General features: G+C 38.1%; 2 annotated features.

Annotated features, from left to right (window-relative positions):
• Positions 422-591: a silencer, noted in NCBI's record as "silent region_20917". NCBI's record gives its function as "represses an Ori minimal core promoter by ATAC-STARR-seq in GM12878 lymphoblastoid cells {active_cell/tissue: GM12878}" and the evidence as "EXISTENCE:reporter gene assay evidence [ECO:0000049][PMID:35858748]".
• Positions 1158-1723: an enhancer, noted in NCBI's record as "OCT4-NANOG hESC enhancer chrX:101012992-101013557 (GRCh37/hg19 assembly coordinates)". NCBI's record gives its function as "activates a minimal SCP1, AML or CMV promoter by ChIP-STARR-seq in primed H9 embryonic stem cells {active_cell/tissue: H9 hESC(primed)}" and the evidence as "EXISTENCE:reporter gene assay evidence [ECO:0000049][PMID:30033119]".

Raw genomic sequence — 21908 nt, 5'->3', positions numbered from 1 at the left:
CACTTACACATTTCTGCATGATTTGATATCATTAAAAGACAAATATGTATTCGTTTTGCAATTCAGAAAAGTAATCAAAATAAAAATTTTCAAAGCACAGGAAAAATTTTGTTACGATCTGATTCACACAACTGATGTTATAGAAACACTCGCTTCGAAAGGTATTCCCTATTAAGCATAAAAACCAGATTGCATACTTTATGTATAATATAATCTGTCCCATTTGTCGTTGATAATACTCTTATATGTATGAGTAAGTGTAAGTATAAAGCAAACGTGTCTAAAAGGCTATGACCCAAAATACAAAATATCCGCACAAACGCACTCACACAAAACTGATACACACTCCCTCAAGAGACACTCACACTGGCAGCTTTCTCTTGATCTGAGATAAGGGTGAAACTTCCTGCCAGAAGCTCAGAAAGCCAAGCAGCAATAGATTCTGCAGGAAGGGCTGCCTGTGCCATTCAAGCCTCCAGCAAGCCCTGTTTGGTGGGTCAAGCCAGAGGCCCCTCCCTCCTCAAATCTTTACGGAGCCTCCTCCAAGACAGTCAGAGATGTAGCTCTGCATTTGACCAACAGGTGGCAATTATCTCAATATTGTATCTTTGCTGCAATAGAAAAGTATCTATTTCTACAAGCAGAAACACTAGTAATCATTGTGACTTATTAATAGATTATGAAACAGTATGTATAATATGATCCAAAATATATTTGAAAAATGTTCATGTCTGGAAAAATATAGAAAGGGTACATTCTCTTTTATTTGCTGGTGATGACTCCCAAGTCTGCATCTCCCTTGTTCATTCATTCGTTCAATAAATAATTATTCTGAGGAACAGACACTTTCCTCTGAGCTGTGTTACTTTTTTCTACAAGACTTCCTCAGGGATGAAGTAGTGACATGGTGAAATATCTGGCTCATCTGTATGTTGAGCTCCTCTCTCTGTTTTTTGTCTGTCTCCTCTTGCCAAGCTCAGTTCTCTGATTCATGGTTTTGCTAATCTTTGTAGTCAACTTTATCAAAACAACTGTCATTGGATATAGCTGATCAGGACCCATAAGACCTTACTGAAGATTCTGTTCAATGCAAATAAAATTAACCAATATTTATTGAGATCTAATTGTGATCCAGACGTAATGAATGCTCATAAAAAATAAGCTTTCCATTGAACCCTTTCTGCCAGAACAAAGTGATAGATTTCTGGGACAGTTTTGAGCTTACAGTAGAATCCCTGTGGCCCTTTATGATCAATGCCCTCTCTGAAAAGGGAACCATTTTTATGCTTCGAGTCAGAGTTTTCCTAAGAGCACAGGAACTTCTAGGCAGGTGGAGGCAGATTTTTAAAAATAATAATATTATGCATGCACTTCTTATGTTTCATGTGCTTTCCTGTCCTCTTATTTTACTTTCTACATGTCAATGTCAGAGAATCCTTGTTCCTTTGTTCCCTTAAAAAGCAAGGTATTCATAGGAACAATGCCAGTACTTTGGTTTCTGGAGAGACCACTTAAGTCAGGAGGTCTGTCTGCCTCCCAGTAAAAGACCTAACCCAGTAATTCCGTGACAACTTTAGTTAAATCCCTTCACATCTTTCTGATCTCACCTACCTAAATTTTACCTGTCCTGCCCCTCAACCACCCAGGATTGTGCAAGAGAAAAAAATGAGCTATATATTATAATTGAGTGTTTGAGAAATCAAGTATTATATTATTATTAGGTATAATAATATATAATGTATATTAATTAATATTAATTATATTATATATTATATAATTAATATAATATAATTATATATTATATTATATTATCTTTGAGTGTAGGAAATTAATGTATGGTGAAATCACAAGGCAACTTGGAGCTAATTACTGCCAATGGCACAGGCCACGGACTCATAAGCCCCGGGGTACCAGTGCCAGTTTTATGAGAAAGATGTGAAAGTGCTTTAAAGCTCCATGAATTAAAGTTTTTAGTTATCATTTTGCCACAAAATAAACCCACAGAAGCATCATATTCAACCAGAGTTCACTCAAGTCCCCATGAAAACAAAGTATGTCCATTGCCTTAAGAGACACTATCAAGCTGCCCTCCCAATCTTATCTATGATGTCCTCCTACTCTCCAATGACAATTTTTTCTATACTCAAATGACAATGGAATCATAAGAATTACTTTATTTTGTAAAAGAGATGGGGTCTCGCTATGTTGCCCAGGCTGGCCCCAAACTCTGGGCTCAAGTGATCCTCACATCACAGCCTCCTGAGTAGCTGGGATAACAGGCACCCACCACTGCACCTGGCTATAGGGTATATTTATATCCTTCCTCACCAACATCAGACTTTTAAACAAAGACCAGGATTGCTTTTCAAAAGAGACACCCATTCCCATAAAGTCACATACCTGTGCAAAGAGATTGTTATTGATCAAGATAGTAGCAACTGGCTTCGCAACCAGTTTATGAACCCTCACAAGAACACCAAGATTATTATTTTATAGTCACAGCTAATACACTCAGGTTTTGTTTGATTCTCTCCTTAACTTTGTGTCAGGCATAATCTTAAACAATATTTCCTGTTTCTTGAACATTTCTTAATAAATATGCCCTGTATTACTTTATCTCCATATATAACATTCTGTTATATAGAATAGATGGCTTATCGTCTTATTTTTATGAATTCTTTTATTTTTAGAGGTTCCTTTCAAAAAGAGTTCCACCTCGAAGTATTTAAGGGCATCTTTGCACATTTCTGTCCACTTAACAAGAGGAAAGAGACAAAAAAGTAAAAGGCAGAATTAAATTATGAATTATAGGATGTGAAATATTTAGAGAATTCTTGACAATGACATTCAACTCACTTTTTTTACAGGTGACAAAATGGAGTCCAGAGAGGTTCGATTACTTACTCAAGATCAGACAGCTAATGAATAAGAGAGGAAAGACTAGAATCTTCCTAGAAATAAATGCATGCATTTGAGTTTTTTCACACATCAACGCAGTAAGAAAACATTACCTGGTTTAGAAATACAGGATTTACAGTTGAGGTTTTGTGATATCCTGAAAGAAACATGGCAGTCAAAAGGACACTTCTTCCTACCTCTTAACCATTTAGTGAATGTGTGGCCCAAAACAAGATACTTATCTCTCTGTGCCTTAGTCTCCTAATCTATGAAATGGAGGTGACAATTCCCCACACCAGAGTTACAAGTGATGAATAGATGTGGTAAAATATATAATAAAGGAATTACAGTGCCAAGCACACTGCAGATGCTCAGAGTTCCTTGAGTTCTCTAGTGAGCAAAACCAAAACACCAAGCTGAAATCCTGTTACAGACTAAGATGAGGCAAGTGTAAAAGAGGCACTTTCTCTCATGGAGGTACTCAAGACTGTACAGGTGCAGCATTAGCATTTGCATAATCCCAAAAGTGAATGTCTCCTTAAACTGTTTGCTCTATGTACTTTATTCGCTTCACTCTGGTTTTGGCCCTGGTTGAGAGGACTAATAATACTAACAATAGCTAAAATTTACTGAACCCTCACTGTGTGCTAGTCATCCTGCTAAGAATGTTTCATATGTTAGCTCTTTGATTCTTCCTTACCACCATGTAGAATAGGTAGTATTATTATCCCTTGGTTAGATGTAAAAAAGAAGAAAGAAGGAAAGAAAGAGAAGAAAGGAAAGAGAGAGAGAGAAGGCAGGCAGGAAGGCAGGAAGGAAAAGAAAGAAAGAAAGAAGGAAAGAAAGAGAGAGAAAGAGGAAGGAAGGAAGGAAGGAAGGAAGGAAGGAGGGAAGGAAGGAGAAAGAAGGAAAGGAAGGAAGAAAACAGAGGCTTAGAAGATTAAGTAACGTGCAAGATCACACAGTTATTGGCAAAGTTGTAATAATGGACTGTGTGTCTCCAAAATCCATGTTATTAAACACTTACAGACAGCATTATTCCATTATAGAAATGAGGTTGAAAGAACAGAAGTCACTTACCTAAGATAAGCTCAACAATTACCCAGTTGCCGGATCCTGAATCATCTGAATCTCAATGCAAATATCCCCTCAAACAGATTCATTGTTATGCTGTGTTCTTTTGTGGCATCTTGTCTTTTCAGACTCAATGGGAAACTTCTCTAGAATTAACCTAGAAAGTGAAATAAAGGGGCAGGGCGCGGTGGCTCACACCTGTAATCCCAGCACTTTGGGAGGTGGAGGCGGGCTGATCATGAGGTCATGAGATCGAGACCATCCTGGCCAACATGGTGAAACCCCCTCTCTCCTAAAAATACAAAAATTAGCTGGGCTTGGTGGCACGTGCCTGTAGTCCCAGCTACTCGGAGGCTGAGGCAGGAGAATTGCTTGAACCTGGGAGGTGGAGGTTGCAGTGAGCCGAGATCACGCCACTGCACTCCAGACTGGCAACAGAGCGAGGCTAAGTCTCAAAAAAAAAAAAAAAAAAAAAAAAAAAAAAGGAAAGGAAGTGAAATAAAGGGGGTTTGATAATTTTCGTAGTGTGTCACCTGTATCATGCACATATGATACCTATTGCATTAGTTTGTATTAACAATTGTAGTACTGAAATATGCCCCTTATGCTAAGACACAGATTGACTGGTACCTCAGATGGTGCAGGGTCCAGGCAGAAACGTTGGTGTGGCAGTTTGGGAAGGTAAGATCGGGAGAATGAACATAACATTCGTATGATTTATCCTGTGTAGGGTAAACATTACACTTTACCTCCTTTATTCTTAGTAACCACCATTCAAAGTAACTAGTATGATCTCCATTAAACAGATGAAGAATATAAGACTCATAAGTAACTTGCCTCAAGTCTAAAGGCTCGAAAGTGGCAGAGAGAGGACTCAAAACCTGCACTCTCTAAGGTCCTAGCTCTCTCCCAATTGACCTGCAGCCTCCTGGGCTTTGAATCTAATCATTCGGGAGGCTGGAATTTCCCTAGAGATGGTCCGGACAGTGGAGAATGCATTCCAGTGGCATTTTAAAATATCTTCTGTATTGTCTTCTAAATCAGAAAATCTAAATGGAGATTTATAAATACTTATTAAAAGGCAGAAATCTCAGAGTAATACCCCGGCAATAAAATGTGGAAAAAATTTCAACAAATAATAATTATAGAAATGAAAATAAAACAAAGAGATATAATATTAGGTTTAAAAATTCATAACATTGTGAATATATGATCTCATTTCTGCAAAGGAATATAAAATTATATGTGTATTTGTATAGTCTGTTGGTATGTCTAAGTTAATATCTAATTGGCAAGAGAAAACATCTGGAAGGACACATAGCCTACTAGCACCAGTGATATCATTGGAGTAAAGAGTTGTGAGGTAAGAGAGGTTAAATTTTACCTTCTAATAATGTACTACTACTATATTGTTCCACTTTGTTTAAATAACCACATATCTATTTTATAGCCAGAAAAAATAACTGTACTGATACCTTCAAAACACAGAAAATAGCTGGTTTGAAACTGAATTATAAAACTAATAATGTATACATATGGACATGAAAAGGTCTTCAAACTACACTCTTAAATGGAGAAAAATCTGATTAGAAAATATACGGTAAGTTATTATTTCAAAATAAATCAATGTATGTGTAAAGTATGTTAAAATATATAACCCAAAATATTCACACACAAATTCACACACACACACACACACACACACACACACACACACATCTCTGATCAGGCTAGGGATGTCTGTTTCTCTTCTCTCAAGTCTGAGGCAGTTGCTGAGTTTTCTAGCAATATTTTTGCTCCAGGAGACCTCCAAAAAGCTGACTGGCAAGATGGAACATGAACAGCTCCCTCATTCCTAAGCTTCCTGCTCTATAATATTCAAACTGCAACTCTCATTAATATCAATGGGTATTTTTTAAGTTTTATTGAAATAAAAAAACTTAATGATAAAGATCCACAATATTTTAAAAATCAGCTTAGAAAGCAGACATATAATACAATCTCAATTATTTTCTTTTTTTAACTTTTGTTTTAAGTTCAGGGGTACAAGTGCAGGTTTGTTACACAGGTAAATTTGTGTCATGGGGGTTTGTTGTACAGATTACTTCATCACCCAGGTATTAAGCCTAGTACCCATTAGTTGTTTCCTAATCCTCTTCCTCTTCCCACCTTCTGCCTGCCAAAAGTTCCCAGTGTGTGTTGTTCCCCTCTGTGTATCCATGTGTTCTCATCATTTAGCTCCCACTTATAAGTGAGAACATGGGGTATTTGGTTTTCTGTTCCTGCATTAGTTTACTAAGGATAATAGCCTCCAGCTCCATCCATGTCCTTGCAAAAGATATGGCCTTTTTCTTTTTTATGGCTGCATAGTATTCCATGGTGTATAGGTACAACATTTTCTTTATCCAGTCTACCATTGATGGGCATTTAGGTTGATTCCATGTCTTTATTATTGTGAATGGTGCTGCAATGAACATATGCATGCATGTGTCTTTATAATAGAATGATTTATATTCCTTTGCGTATATACCAAGTAACGGGATTGCTGCTATTTCTGTCTTCAGGTCTTTGAGGAACCGCCACACTGTCTTCCACGATGGCTAAACTAATTTACACTCCCACCAACAGGGTATAAACTTTCCCTTTTCTCCACAACCTTTCCAGCATCTGTTATTTTTTGACTTTTAAATAACAGCCATTCTGACTGGTGTTAGATGGTATCTCATTGTGGTTTTGATTTGTATTTCTCTAATGATCAGTGATGTTGAGCTTTTTTTCATATGATTGTTGGCCACATGTATGTCTTCTTTTGAGAAACATCTGTTCATGTCCTTTGCCCAGTTTTTAATGGGGTTGTTTGGGTTTTTTCTTATAAATTTGTTTAGGTTCCTTATAGGTGCTGGATATTAGATCTTTGTCAGATGCATAGTTTGCAAAAATTTTCTCCCATTCTGTAGGTTGTCTGTTTACTCTGTTGATAGTCTCTTTCCCTGTGCAGAAGCTCTTTAGTTTAATTAGATCCCATTTGTCAATTTTTTGACAATTATTTTCAAAAGACAAATATGGATAGAAACATCCTGAAGAGGTAAATACTCAGTTTTATTTTCTCCTGTCTTCAAAAATCTGTCATTCTTTCATTCATTCACTCCATTTGATATGGTTTGGCTGTGTCCTCACCCAAATCTCACCTTGAATTGTAATAATCCCCACATGTCAAGGGTGGGGCCAGGTGGAGATAATAAGTCTCACAAGATCTGACGGTTTTATAAATGGGAGTTCCCCTGCACAAGCTCTCTTGCCTTCTGCCATGTAAGACGTGACTTTGCTCCTTATTCACCTTCTGCCATGATTGTGAGACCTCCCCAGCCCTGTGGAACTGTGAGTCAATTAAACCTCTTTCCTTTATAAATTACCCAGTCTCAAGTATGTCTTTATTAGCAGCATGAGAACAAACTAATATACCATTCATTCATTCATTCATTCATCCATTCATCCTTCCATTCACCATATAGTGTTTGAGTATCTTCTGTGTGTTAGCCACTGCCAGCCTGAATCTATCACTGCCACCTGGCCTCCTCTTTCGTGAGTTCTAGAACTACATGGTTTATGCTCTACTAGACATGCCCAGTGTTAGTGTTCGCCTGTACACGCATAACCAGGCTCAGACATCATAGACAGCCAACATAAACCAGAGGAGTATAGGAGTCCTGAAGGACCACTCTCTAAAGGAAAGGGAAAAGGGGTGCAGTAGAGACATCCTGATATGCAAAGTATCAGCATTTCAGCTATATCACTTAAACACTGATTTTTTTTTAACATACTATTGATTTTTTTTCTTCTCCTGATTGAAGCTCACTGTCAAGATGCTATAGAAAGAGTTAAGGATGAGACAACTCTTAGGAGCTCTCAACCTTGGATTCTGTCATGGGCATGAACTACAGAGTTCAGGCACTTTCTACAATTGTCCTGTTATGTTTCATGCAGTTTCCGGACATGCCCAACTACCGGGTAGTGGATTTCCACACAGGATATCCCCAGGGATGAACCAGGTCATAGAGTATTTCCTGCCTGTTATATTTGGCTAGGCTCTCACGTTAGCTCCACTCTCTCCTCTTTACTTGGGTAATGCCTCCTTATCCCTCAGGTCTCAGTTTAAACATCACTTCCTATGGGAAGCCTCCCCAAAACACCTAAGACCAGGTGGGTGTTTGTGCTATCTGCTTTGCTCCATAGCACTCTGAGTTCTCCTATCATAGCACCTATGAAACTTTATTATTGCTGGCTTCACTATCTTTCCCTTAAGTTTGCAAGCTCCAGAAGGACAGGGACCATGTCTGTGTTTTGTTTACCACTGTGATGTGTTACACCTCTAAGACTTCTCATCTATGTTTTTATTGAAGTCGAAAAGTGGTGTCAATCCTTAATGATAATTTTTGGTATGCTAAAGAGTGGCTTTGCCCTTTTACAATTTCATTATCATTTAACTTGATTTAGGTAATACCAAATGAGTTTCCACAGGCTATTAAAATTACAGGGACTTACACTCTTATATGGATGATAACCTTACAATTTTTGATTGACAGACCTTCTTTCTTCTTTAATTTTATGTATCTCATAAGTAACACCTATTTGTGAAAGAAAAAATTAATACAAAAGATCAAAAAAGACATAAAACTTTCGTAATCCTACCTTGGAACTAAGAATTTTTCTATAATAAACAGTGGTGAGATGAATGACATTGAATCATTTTTTTATTGCTAAAGGACGTATTTCACGTTTGCATTTAAAATAGATTTAATTCATTTACTATTAGGTTGGTGCAAAAGTAATTGCGGTTTTTGCCATTACTTTTAATAATGTTTAATAATAGTTTGTCCTCTTTGTGTCTCTGAATCACATTTGCATGCTTTTTAGGCTTTTATAAGTAGACCTTGATGACCAGTTTGATGTGTGCACATGAGGGCTTGTAAGTGTGTGTGTTTGTGTGTCCTTAAACACTTATCTGTTTTCATATCCCATATTCCCTGATAGATATTCTTTGTGTTCTCTTACCCTTAAATAAATTTATGTTTGTGGCAAAGACCAAAGCCAGGAATTTAGGTCGATGAATTTTATTGTTTCCATACACTTGTGCACATCCTTAACTATTTCCTTAGGGTACATTTCAAGGCATGGAATTGCTGCCTCAAATGGTATACACATGCTTAATTTAATTCCCCGCCTGCCAACAAGAAAAGTTGTACCAGTTTAAAGTCCATAAACTGGAATTAAGTGAAACAAGCCTCAGGGAAGTGAGGAGCGTGGATGTAGTGATGTCCTGTTAAAAAGTGCAGGCCTTAGATTCCACTGAGCGAAGCTTTGAAGCCCCAATAACAGTAAATACACCTCAGAGTGGTCAGTAGTAAATGGTAACATTAAACATAAGCACATAGTGAAGCAGCTTGTGGGCAATTAATGGCAAGCACATAGGACTTGGAGTCAGTATCCCTGGATGAAGAATATCTAAAATTGTTTTAGGAACCTTCTATAATCTTTATTATGAGACAAATTGTACCTCCAGACCAGCACCACATTTAGCCAAAATTTAACTTATGTGCGGATCTTATCCTAAGAGATACCAACTTCTCTCTTTCCTATCTCCTGAGTAGACGGCTATTCTGTCCACTGATCACAAGTGTTTTCTGAAAGAAGGATCTCTACTCTCCTCATTACCAGAACATTCAAGGATTTTTTGATAAACAGAAAGATATTTCAACTTTGCAAAATGTTACAGATGCCTTCATTGTTCTGAATGCTTTGCACCTCTCTGGAACCCTTAAAGTTGTTACTGTCATGTTTTGGTGTCCAAGAGAAAGGAAGGTTCAAACAAATGACTAGGCAAAAATTGCTGGTTTTGGTGCTGGACTTTGGCCTGGCTTGATCCCTGAGAGAAACTTCTTAATAGTAAAAGTTTTATATCAGGGTCGGGTGACTAATGCAGAAAGCAATTAAATGATTCCAAATATTCTGTCTGCCTTAGACCCTGGAAAGAGAGAGCCATTTATTTTCCCACTTAAAGGTAAGCTCTTCTTTCTTTTTTTCAGCAGATGTAGTTTGGCACAGCAGAGTCCCTCTGAAAACAGTATGACTCATCCAGATGCCACAGAAAGAGGTCTGAAAAAGCAGGTTTGTTCCATTAAATTACATGAGAATTTGCAATAGATAGACACAGGCATTACATAATGCTGTTTGGTCTTGAGGGCTAGACTTTCACGTTTTACTTCAGATACTCCTAGAGTAATTGAAATTTTTTACAGTGACGATCAACATTTTCTTATACTTTACCACATATTACTTTTTATAGCTTGGAATTTAAAATAAAGTTGTAAAATGATCATGAGATAAAATAAGAAGAAAAAGCACCATGATCAGGTCTCTCTAGCCTTTTTATATTATATCAGGTTTCTCTAACCTTTTTTCAGGTAAAATTTCAGTGCTCAAGAAAATGCCATTTTCTATGCTCTCATTTTCTCTTTTTCCAGATAGCTTCACTTACAGCATATGGATAAGTGAATTATGGCCTGGTTATCCTTATTACTTAAAGATCTTAACAGCAATGATTCCTTTTAAAGAGAGTCAAACACCTAATGTTTAAACTACTGTTCAAAGTCATTGCCCATTATCCTAATATGAAAAAGGTAGAGACAAAAACATAAAGTTATATGAGAGTTCACTGAACTATACATCAGAGGACATAAAAAAGAATAAAGTCACCATGATGGTCCATGCAGTTCCCTTATTTTTGTGGTTGAGGAAACAGGAGCTGGGAGAGGTTCACTGACTGGCTGGTAAGTGTTGATTTGTGGATAAGAAAGGACCAGGTATCAGAAATGCACAATAGCACATCTAATGATTCTCAACAATAGACAAATATTTTTCCTTGTCCTTGTGATAGATATCCAAGTTGCCTTCAACTTCTCACCACCACAAATATACCCTTATACATATTCTTTTATTTAGCTATATAAAAATGACTCTGAGGTATTCACCCTGGAGCAGACATGTTGGGTCATTGAGAATGTGTACCTTTTATATGACTAAACACTTCTATGTTGCTCTCCAGAATGTATTTCTACCAGCAGTGCATGGAGGGCTCCATAGACTCCAACAACACTTGACATCCACCATCTACCATTTTAATTTTTGCCTGCCAATAAGGTGATGTTTCACTGTTGTTTAATTGGAAACTACTAATAACCTAGAGTGGTAAATACTGAAAATGCATATTGTGTAATTTGGTTATATTTCTAGTCTTTTTGTTATTTACCAATAAACTGTGAATTCATTTTTTATACCAGTGCCATGGTGGATTTTTTCCTTCATAGTTTATGAAGAAAAGGATCAAAATTTATATTTTTAAGTGAAAAAGTTTGCCAACTGTTCCCAACACCATTTCCAGAATAATCCATGTTACTTACTGATTAGAAATATCAAGTTTATCACATTTAAAACCTGGGGACTGAGCTTTTATTCTGTTCCATTAAACTATATCTCAGATTTTCTGCCAGTCTTACTTTGTTTTAATGTCGTTGCTTCATAAAACATCTTAATAACTAAAAATATAACATTTTCTTCCATTATTTGCTCTTAAAAGGTCAAGAATAGCAATAACAACAACAATAAAGGTAACTAACATTTATTGAGCATTTGGTATGTATCTATCAATAATGCTTTACTTGTAGTATCACATTAAATCTTCAATTACATATAATGGTGCAGATACTATTCTGTTCTGTATTGAAAAGACAAGAAACTACAGGTAAAGAAAGCATAACTGGTTTGATGTGGAATCTAATTTCAAACCCAAGTCTTATCATAGTAAGCTCATACTCTTAACCACTGTTATATTAAAATGAACTGCATAAAATAGTCACAACTGGAGCATTTTGACAAAGAAAAATGTCAGTTTCTTACTATTCAGTCTATTATATAGTACTTTGTATTTTAGAAATGAGGCAATCTCAGAGAAAGACAGACACACCCATGGTCCAGTAATTGGTAATGGATCTGGCATATGGATTCTAGATCTTCTATCTTCAGTCTTCTAACAAGCAGGACTACTACTGTTATTTATTTCTAGGGCTCAGTAGAAAAACTATTTCTCTAATGATCCACTAAAGGGTAATACCAGAGACAGGAAAGGGGACATGAACATAAAGAAAATGGCATAATGATTATTTTTCCCTTGTCCCATATTCACCAGGTAATTCATCCTATAACACAGAAATGACACTGAAGCTCACAGATTACTAAAATATATTTACATTTTACTTGTTGCTGTTACATTTCTAATATTTTCTGTAATAATTTTACTATTTAAATTACATTAAAATCATATATTTAATGGGAGAGAGAAGGCAGGGAGACAGGAGTAATACTTGTTCAGTCTACTATATCCTAGACAATACTAAAAATATTGCCATTTTCACCCTATAGTAGTTCTATAATGTACATTCTATCGTATCTGCTAAAAATATGATTTAACAAGATAAAAGAAATATGCTTTGCTTTATTTACAAAAAGCATTTTATGAAACAGCCTGTACAGAATTATCCCCATTCTGTTTTCAATCACATGAATAAAAAAGGAAGAGATATGTATCCAGTTTTACTTGCTGATTTAATGATGACTAACAGATATTCATTTTTTTCTTTCTCTCTTTCTTTTATTTATTCAACAAATAGTTATGGTATACCAAATAAGTGCAAAGAACTGTTAGACCAAATTATATCTCCACCACAGGGCTTTTCTTTCTTTTCTTTTTTTTTTTTTTTTTTTGAGATGGAGTTTCACTCTTGTCACCCAGACTGGAGTGCAATGGCACAATCTTGGCTCACTGCAACCTCCACCTCCTGAGTTCAAGCAATTCTCCAGCCTCAGCCTCCTGAGTAACTGGAATTACAGGCATGTGCCACCATGCCTGGCTAATTTTGTGTTTTTAATAGAGACGGGGTCTCACCATGTTGGCCAGGCTGGTCTTGAACACCTGACCTCATGTGATCCACCCACCTCAGCCTCCCAAACTGCTGGGATTACAGGCATGAGCCACCACAGGCCTTTTCTTCTGAGCTCCAGACTCTGTTATACAATTACAGCATAATGAATATTAACATTTATGACCAGGCATGGACACTTTATCAAGGCAATTCAAATTATACAGTCCTTGAGCTCTAAAAGCTTACCATCTAAGTAGAAGGCAGTGTAGTAGGGGCAGAGAGAGAACATTGAGTTCAGAATCAGACAAACATGGGTTAAAATTTATGTTCTGCCATTTATTTAAGGTGTTAAGCTTGGAAAGTTTGCTTAAATTCTCTAAGACTTAATTTCCTCATCTGTACAGGGAGACTGTTATCTGTGTTTCAAAAGAAAATACGAAATGTAGTGCACTCAACCATTCAGTCTGAAAATTCAACACATATTCACTTTTTCTCACTCCATCTCTTCCCTTTCTTAGCAGAAATGACTTACCCATGAACTCAATAGCACAACTATATCATAGAGAACATCCAGAAATGTAAGAGCAAAAAGAAAATTAAATATATGTTTATTTACATTATGAATGTAATCCAATACAATTTCTGTATAATAGAACAATTCAGTCATTGTACTTTTCCCAATTCATTTGGACCTTCTAGATTAATATGATGCATGTGTATGACTTGGAAGTTTCTAGTATTCTTTAAGTCTCAGAGTGTTAAGATACATAATAGAAACCTAGCCCATAATGATGGGTCTGCAGGAGGGACACAAGAGCAAGAGTCCGGAGCTCTGTCTGGGTCCCAATTTCTAAGTAATCCCTGGCGATAGGATAAAGCAATCCCAAACATTCAAAATATTTGAAAGATAAATGACACCCCCATTTCTGTAAGCATTCTGAGTTCTCAGAAGGAAAGGAAGAAGCTGTTATGTGTAAGGAAATCAATTTAGTGTAAATTATCTGTAAGAAAATTAGCCTTCTAGAGAGTAATTGCCCAATAAATGTCTGCTATTAATTTTCTATTTTAACTGCTCATGGTGCAGTTGGGGAAGGTGTCTGGTAGAATTCAGAGACCATCCAAAAACACATGGCACCTGCGCAAAAGGAACAAGCTAAGGGAACTCTCACTGTGACAACTTCTTTACATTGTCAACTAATTTAATTATGTCAGCAAGTCTCTGAGACACTGTTCTGAAAGAGAGATTGTTGTAAGACAGCAGTGTTCTATAAATATATAGACACAATCATACATGTGTTGTTTGTATCTCTGCTTCTGTCTACTAAAAGTTTCTGTATGTCTTTCTGTTGTTTTATTACTGTTCTCTTACTGGGGATTCTCTTTTGATCTATGAATTTGGGTCCTTATCCAAGGATTTAAGATCGGCTTTTAGGTGAATGTGTAAAATCATACCTGACTGAGTTTTCCAGCAGTTCTGACTGTGCTGACCCTGATGCCAAGGTCTTTGCTAACAGAGGAGTAGATCCGCTGAATGTTAATGGATGTTATTGTGACTGTCTGGAACAACTGTACATTCCATTCCAGAGATGTAATCATGTCAACAAGGTGCCCAGACAACCGATATTCAGAATCTTTACACTTTATTAAAATGATATGGCATATTTTTCTTATCCCAAGATTTTTTTCCTTTCCTCCTCCCTTCCTCCTGTCCTATAAAAAATTGAATTGTGGAAGTAGCTCATGTGTAGCTTTTTTCATTGGATTTGGTAGTGGGGTCTATTGGTGATTGTGAAACACTGCAGCACCCCTTGAATGTTGATCAAATTTTCCCCTCTAAAATGAAAGAAGTCAGTCCAGGTTATGAAATATCTAGAGAGAAAGAGGCCATTTCATAACTTGCTTTCTGTTTTAAAACCCAAGGGACCATTCTCCTCCTTAAAAAAAAGCAAACACCAAAAAAAAAACTTAGAAGCATCATATGCAGACTTTAAACTCTAACCTCATTAACTACATAGTAGCATCTCCAGGCAAACCCCTCCTTTTTTAGAATTTTGAAATGCAATCCACAGCTAGTGACTCCGTTTTCTCAGAGACCCCTGTGTAGGAGAGACCGGCCAGAGAGTCATGCTAGTCTTGTTTCATCAGATCTTGAGAGCCTTCACAAACAGTCTTTCCCATATTCTACCAATCCAAACATAGGCAGTGTTTGGTTATCTTCTGCTGCATAAAAAACCACCCCGAACATAGAGACTTAAAACATGAATGATTTTTTATTACCGCTTGTCATAATTCTATGGGCTTACTGGGTGTTTCTTTTGCTTCAGGTGCTGTCAGCTGGGGTGCTGGGATGGTCAAAAAATTGAAAACAGCCTCAATCACATTACTGAAGGTTGATGCAGGCTACTGACAGGAGCTCAGCTGGATCTGGCAGCAGAGAGACTCATTTCTCCACACGCTTCTCCACATGACTGCTTGGGCTCCTTACAGCATGGTGGCTAGATTCCAAGAAAGAGCACTCCACAAGACAAAAGTAAAAGCTGAAGACTCCTTAAGGCATAGCCACGGAAATGCCAGACATTATTTCTGCTGCATTTTATTGGTCAAAAACGAACACAAGGCCAACCCAGATTCCAGGGAAGGGGAAACAGACTTCTCTTCTTGATGGGATGGGGATAAAGTCACATTCCAAAACAGTATGTGAAATGAGAGATATTAATGTAGCCATCTTTGGGAACATGATCTACTATAGGCACCAATCAGAAGCACCATGTCTCCCTAGGAAGTCATCCAGAGGAAGTCAAGCTTTCCCCTCTCCTAGACATCTGTATTCCACACCTGTGAATTTGGTGCTACTTGACACAATGACAGAAAGTTCAGAGTCAATTTACTGGAAATTCAGTACTCATCTAAGTTGGGAGGAGTTGTTTGATCATTTGACTATTATACTATTTAGTTTATGTAAAAGTCATTTCTATAATGGAAGGAAGGAAGACATGTGAGGTTAAATAATAACATTCTGGAAGCCTTAAGACATGCCAAACACTTTCCATAGATTGTCTCATTTTCTCTTTGAAAAAAATAATTTAAAGAAGGCAGGATAACTCATATTTTTCAGATGATCAATCTCAGATTTATAGATGGTAACTTTTCTAGGAATGAGCACCTAATAAATGGCAGTAAGAGGATTCTAGCTCTTGTTCTTTCAGTCTGCCTTTCTGTTCAATATGTTTCCAGGATTCAGGGACTGTTTTTTTTTTTAGACTTGCTAGCAGCCATGACGTGCACATGGCATGATGAAGATAATGATGATAATGATGATGATGATTATGATGATGTCAACAGAGGACGTGAATATGAAATTATGCCACTTGGCCTAAAAAGCTAGCATAGGAGAACTACAAAGAGGTAACTTTATTTTATAGCCTTTAATAATAGCAAAACCATTAGATGCTTAGATAAGTTAAATATTTATCCCAGATCACCAAACATGTAAATATGAAAGCAGGGACTAAAAACTAGGATTGACACTGAGTCCTGGAAGTCCTGCATTTCCCATGTTTTTAATCTTGTCAATTTTTAATCACCAACTCAGCTGACTTTCAGGTTTATATAATCAGGAGAGTGATGAATACACTGGTATTTCCAAATGTGTTCACGTTGAACTTTGTTTATAAGCAAATTTTTAACACATTGTATATGAAAAAAGTCACCATAAGATTAAAAGTAATCAAAAGATGAGAAAATATTTGCAAGATGTATTATAAAAATGGTTAGTATTCTTAATATATAAAGACCCCTTACAAATCAACAATGGAATAGGCTAAGGATCTGAACACTTTATGTGTGTATATATACACATAGGTATTAGTATAATAAATGCAAGGAAATTATCAAAGGATTTTTAAATCAAAGGATTTTTTGGAGGAAGGAGGAAATATAGACAGATTTACCTTCCAGATTATACATGTCTACACTACTTACATGTTTTTACAGCAAGCATGTGTTTCTTTCACATGTTTTAGAGTTCTGAAAATAACTAGGGGTTCTAGGAATACTTTCTTTACTAAACAGACTTCCAGATAGCTCTCTACTAGGTTAAGTCGATAATCTTTTCCTCACTGCCTTTTCTCTCTTTTGTCTAAGATATTTAAGTTTTATTTCTGATCAAAAGCTTGAACTCTGCTATGTTTTTTAATTTTCCCAAATGAATAAATATAATATTTACAAACAAGAAAAACTATTGTAGGCATAAATTTTCAAGCCAGAGTCAAGCACTCAAGTGTACAAGAAGTGTTACTTTTTGTGTACTTTTCTATATTGTATCTGAACCTAATTTCCATTTTGAGCCCTGGTGAGCTGTAAATAGGAGGTATAATGTATCCAATTCCAGATAAATTCCGTTCCTTCTTGGATTGCTTAGTCAATTTATGATCAATTCAATCAGTTTATGTCTCTCCTCCACCCTCTGCTTTTCCCCATATGACATCTAGATTCTCAGGGCTTATATAGTGTCTTGATCTTTTCCTTTCCTGTATTTGATGATACCCTCCAAAATATTTGAGTTCCCATCTAAACCTCAAACATGTGGTTCATGTTGTCATGCTGCAACCTCCCATCCTGACCATAAGACTGGTTCAGGACTATACGCAGTCTTGCTGAGCTAACTCTTGTGTCCTGTTGGAAACCAAGAAAAACCGGACTGTTTTCTCACAACTCGGAGTAATTTGGAAAGTTGAGTGGGGTTACCTCAGGCTTTCTCCGGCCATCATATGAAATGAAGCCATCTCTGTTCTACTCTACCCATATTATGATGACACATAGAATTCTTGTGAAGCTATGGTGTCCCAGGTATTAAGACAAAAAGAGGATAAAACCCATATGTGAGGGGGCAGGGAATGTATCAAGTAATATTTCATCTAGTCACATTTCCTACCCCTAGAAAAGCCTCGTTCCCTCACAAAGAAAATGTACTTCTCATCTTAGGTATCACCCCCTCCAAGAAAGTAAGACTAATTATTTTCCAAAATTTGTCTAGAAGAGTAATGTCCATACTCAAATCAGCAAATAGGTGCTATCTTCCCCAGGATCTTCTTTTGTCAGGTGAATAAGGCTAGTTACTGGGTAGATTTTTCACTTCTCTCATTTAAGGGTAGTTACTTGTTCTCCCTGGCCTAACGGCTATAAGACAAATCATTCTTATTTACTCCTCCCACCTAGGATTATATGATACAATATAAGTCCCTCACTCCTGAGGCTTAGATTCAGGCATAAATTGATTTAGCTCATGTTGGATTTGTTGAGCAAACCCTAAGGTGACTTAATTTACCCTTGATTAGCAAGATTAGGTTTTCCTCAAGAGGAAGAATGGGGCCCATAATGTATACTAAGATCAGTTATATAATAACGAAAAGATACATTTGTTTACCCACTGAATTTTATATCCTGAAAATTTATACCCACTACAAAACCAATAAAAGTTACTTTTAAAAGATTATAAAACAGTTTGTACTGTATGATTTCAAACACTTTGAAAAATGTATATACATAGAAAATGATTTGGAGGGTATAATCTCAATTTTACTTGCTGGTGACTCTCAAAAACTAATTCATCTAATAATTCATTACTTCAAGAAATATTTATCATGCTTTATTAGGTATCAGACACTGGAAATCCAATTCCATAGCTTCATCCCACAACATATTTCTCTTAAATTCCAGATTCACATAGAAAACTGCCTACTTACACATGCTTATTTGAGGAAGATAAATATAACTAACCAAATGAATGTCTATGATCTCATTCAGACTATACTCAACAAGTTTAGACCACCCTGGCCTTGAATCCTCGCAGCTTACCATGTAAAAGGGGAGCCATGTGGCAATTGGCAAGAGCTTGGGCTTTTAAGTCAGACACAACTATGTTAGAACTCCTGCTCTGCCTCTTATTAACTGTAATCTTGGAAAATGTAATTAACTCCACTGAGCCTCACAGAGCACACTTAGTGAAAATATGAGTAATAAAAGAGACCTCACAGAGCATACCTAGTGAAAATATGAGTAATAAAAGAGACCCTGATATATACTTGCAGGATTTTTAAGCATTTAAAGTAAAAACGTTGGTTACATGCCTAACAGAGTTTCTGGCCTGTACTAGGCACTCAGCAAAAATTTTATTCCCATCCTGTCCCCTCCCTTCTGTAGCAGAGGTGGTATTACCATAATGAAACTGTGAAATTATGTGATAAAAAGCATTTGGAACTGCTACAGAGAAGAAAAAACAATATGCATTTACATTATGTCAGAAATACAGTGCATTCTTTATTATATTTAGCCAAACCAAATGAAATTGCTGACATTTAATCATTTTTTACTTACAAAAACAAGAATTTGATATGTTTCAATCTAATAGAACGATTTGCATGTTGAGTTCAAAGAGGAAGACAGACTTCATCTTTATTCTACTGACTTTTTTCCCTTCTCCTCCTTTTGAATCTCAAGGTAAGCATCAGGCAAACACATAATGTGGGTGTCTATGCTACCCTGTTAGCCCCAGAAAGACTATGGAAGCACAAAGCTACAAAGCAAATCACTCCACGATGCTGGAGCGAAAGTCAGGGTTACTTTCTGGGTCCCAAGAATGTAGACATCACTGATGACAGGACCTTGAACAAGTCATTTCCCTTTTGTTTGCCAATTGATCACTGGGATTAAATTAGGGAGCCTGCCCACCATTCCTGGAATGTTGTAAAGACCCATGAGACTCCCCATAGAGCAAACATTCTGGGTTCTTGGCTGGGGAGATCTGTTAAAGCCAATGAATTATTTTAACATAAATTAATTTGCAGGAATAACAGAACACTACATATTAGGCACACAAGTGTCAATTATTTATGAAATATCAAAAAGCACTTGTGAAACACAAATGACACCAAGATAGACAGGGATCCTTCCCTCTACAGAACTACGGAAACTCATGTGAACTGTGCCTGCCAGTGTTCTATGAGCTTTCTACATGCTTTCTCCTTTAATACTTAAAGTAAGCCTATGAGGCAACATTTTTATTTCAATTTTTCAGGTGAAAAATCTTTTTTTTTTTTAAATAAAAAATTCTCTGCGGACTTCCGCAGTGTTTGTGTCCCTGGGTACTTGAGATTAGGGAGTGGTGATGACTCTTAACGACCATGCTACCTTCAAACATCTATTTAACAAAGCACATCTTGCACCGCCCTTAATCCATTTAACCCTGAGCTGACACAGCACATGTTTCAGAGAGCACGGGATTGGGGGTAAGGTTATAGATTAACAGCATCCCAAAGCAGAAGAATTTTTCTTAGTACAGAACAAAATGGAGTCTCCTATGTCTACTTCTTTCTACACAGACACAGTAACAATCTGATCTCTCTTTCTTTTCCCCACATTTCCCCCTTTTCTTTTCGACAAAACCGCCATTGTCATCATGGCCCGTTCTCCATGGTCGCTGTCTCTTCAGAGGTGTTGGGTACATCTGCAGAAAGGCTGTCACTTCACACTTGGAAGATTGCACAGCAGCCAGTCAGAGGCGCTCCTCACCTCCCAGACGGGGCGGCTGGGCAGAGGCACTCCTCACCTCCCAGATGGGGCGGCCGGGCAGAGGCGCTCCTCACTTCCCAGACGGGGTGGCAGCCAGGCAAAGACGCTCCTCACCTCCCAGATGGGGTGGCGGCCAGGCAGAGGTGCTCCTCACCTCCCAGACGGGGCGGCCGGGCACAGGCACGCCTCACTTCCCAGATGGGGCGGCCGGGCAGAGGCGCTCATCACTTCCCAGACGGGGCGGCCAGGCAGAGGTGCTCCTCACTTCCTAGACGGGGCGGCCGGGCAGAGGGGCTCCTCACATCCTAGACAATGGGCGGCCAGGCAGAGACGCTCCTCACTTCCTAGATGGGGTGGCGGCCGGGCAGAGGCTGTAATCTTAGCACTTTGGGAGGCCAAGGCAGGTGGCTGGGAGGTGGAGGTTGTAGCGAGCCGAGATCATGCCACTGCACTCCAGCCTGGGCAACATTGAGCATTGAGTGAGCGAGACTCCGTCTGCAATCCCAGCACCTTGGGAGGCCGAGGCGGGCAGATCACTCGAGGTCAGGAGCTGGAGACCAGCCCAGTCAACACGGCAAAACCCCGTCTCCACCAAAAATAGAAAAACCAGTCAGGTGTGGCAGCGCGTGCCTGCAATCCCAGGCACTCGGCAGGCCGAGGCAGGAGAATCACAGGAGCCCAAGGCAGGGAGGTTGCAGCGAGCTGAGATCACGGCAGTACAGTCCAGCCTCGGCAACAGAGGGAGACCGAAGAAGAGAGAGGGAGAGGGAGGGGGAGGGGGAGGGGGAGGGGGAGGGGGAGGGGAGGGGAGGGGAGAGGGAGGGGAGGGGAGGGGAGGGGAGGGGGAGGGGGAGGAGGAGGGAGAATTCTTATACTTTATTAGTTGACTCTCACAGGATGTAAGTTGAAAAGCCCAGAATTCACATCCATCCTTGTTATTTCCCCAATCTGTGCTCTTTCTTTTCCAGGGCTTTGCCATGTACCTAGTCAAGTTCCTGGAGTGTCCAGTCCTAGAAGCATGGCATGTCTGTTATCACCACCACCAAGAAACCAAGAAACATTGAGTGAGTGCTTGTGGGTGTATGACAAAGCATGGTCAGAGGGAACAATCTGAGCAAAGACATAGAATTCAAGAGGATGCTTGGCCTGCTTGAGAACTGAAACAGGGCTGCTGGGGCTGAACACAATGCAGAAATAACTTCCTTGGTCCAGGGTGATCCCACCACTCAAAAACCCAACTCTATCACAGGCAACAATATAGCACAACCAGAAGCCAAATGAGTTGTAAAAAATATTTGATGCTTGGTGTTCTTCACTATCAGTTACACGCTCATAATTAGTTCAAATTGAAAAAGGACATTTTAATAGAAATATAACTAAGTATGGGTCAGA

Source organism: Homo sapiens, chromosome X, assembly GCF_000001405.40.
Source record: "Homo sapiens chromosome X, GRCh38.p14 Primary Assembly".
In the NCBI taxonomy this organism is placed as follows: Eukaryota; Metazoa; Chordata; class Mammalia; order Primates; family Hominidae; genus Homo; species Homo sapiens.
Note: the sequence above shows the minus strand (reverse complement) of the source record. Positions and strands in the feature narration are given on the sequence as shown.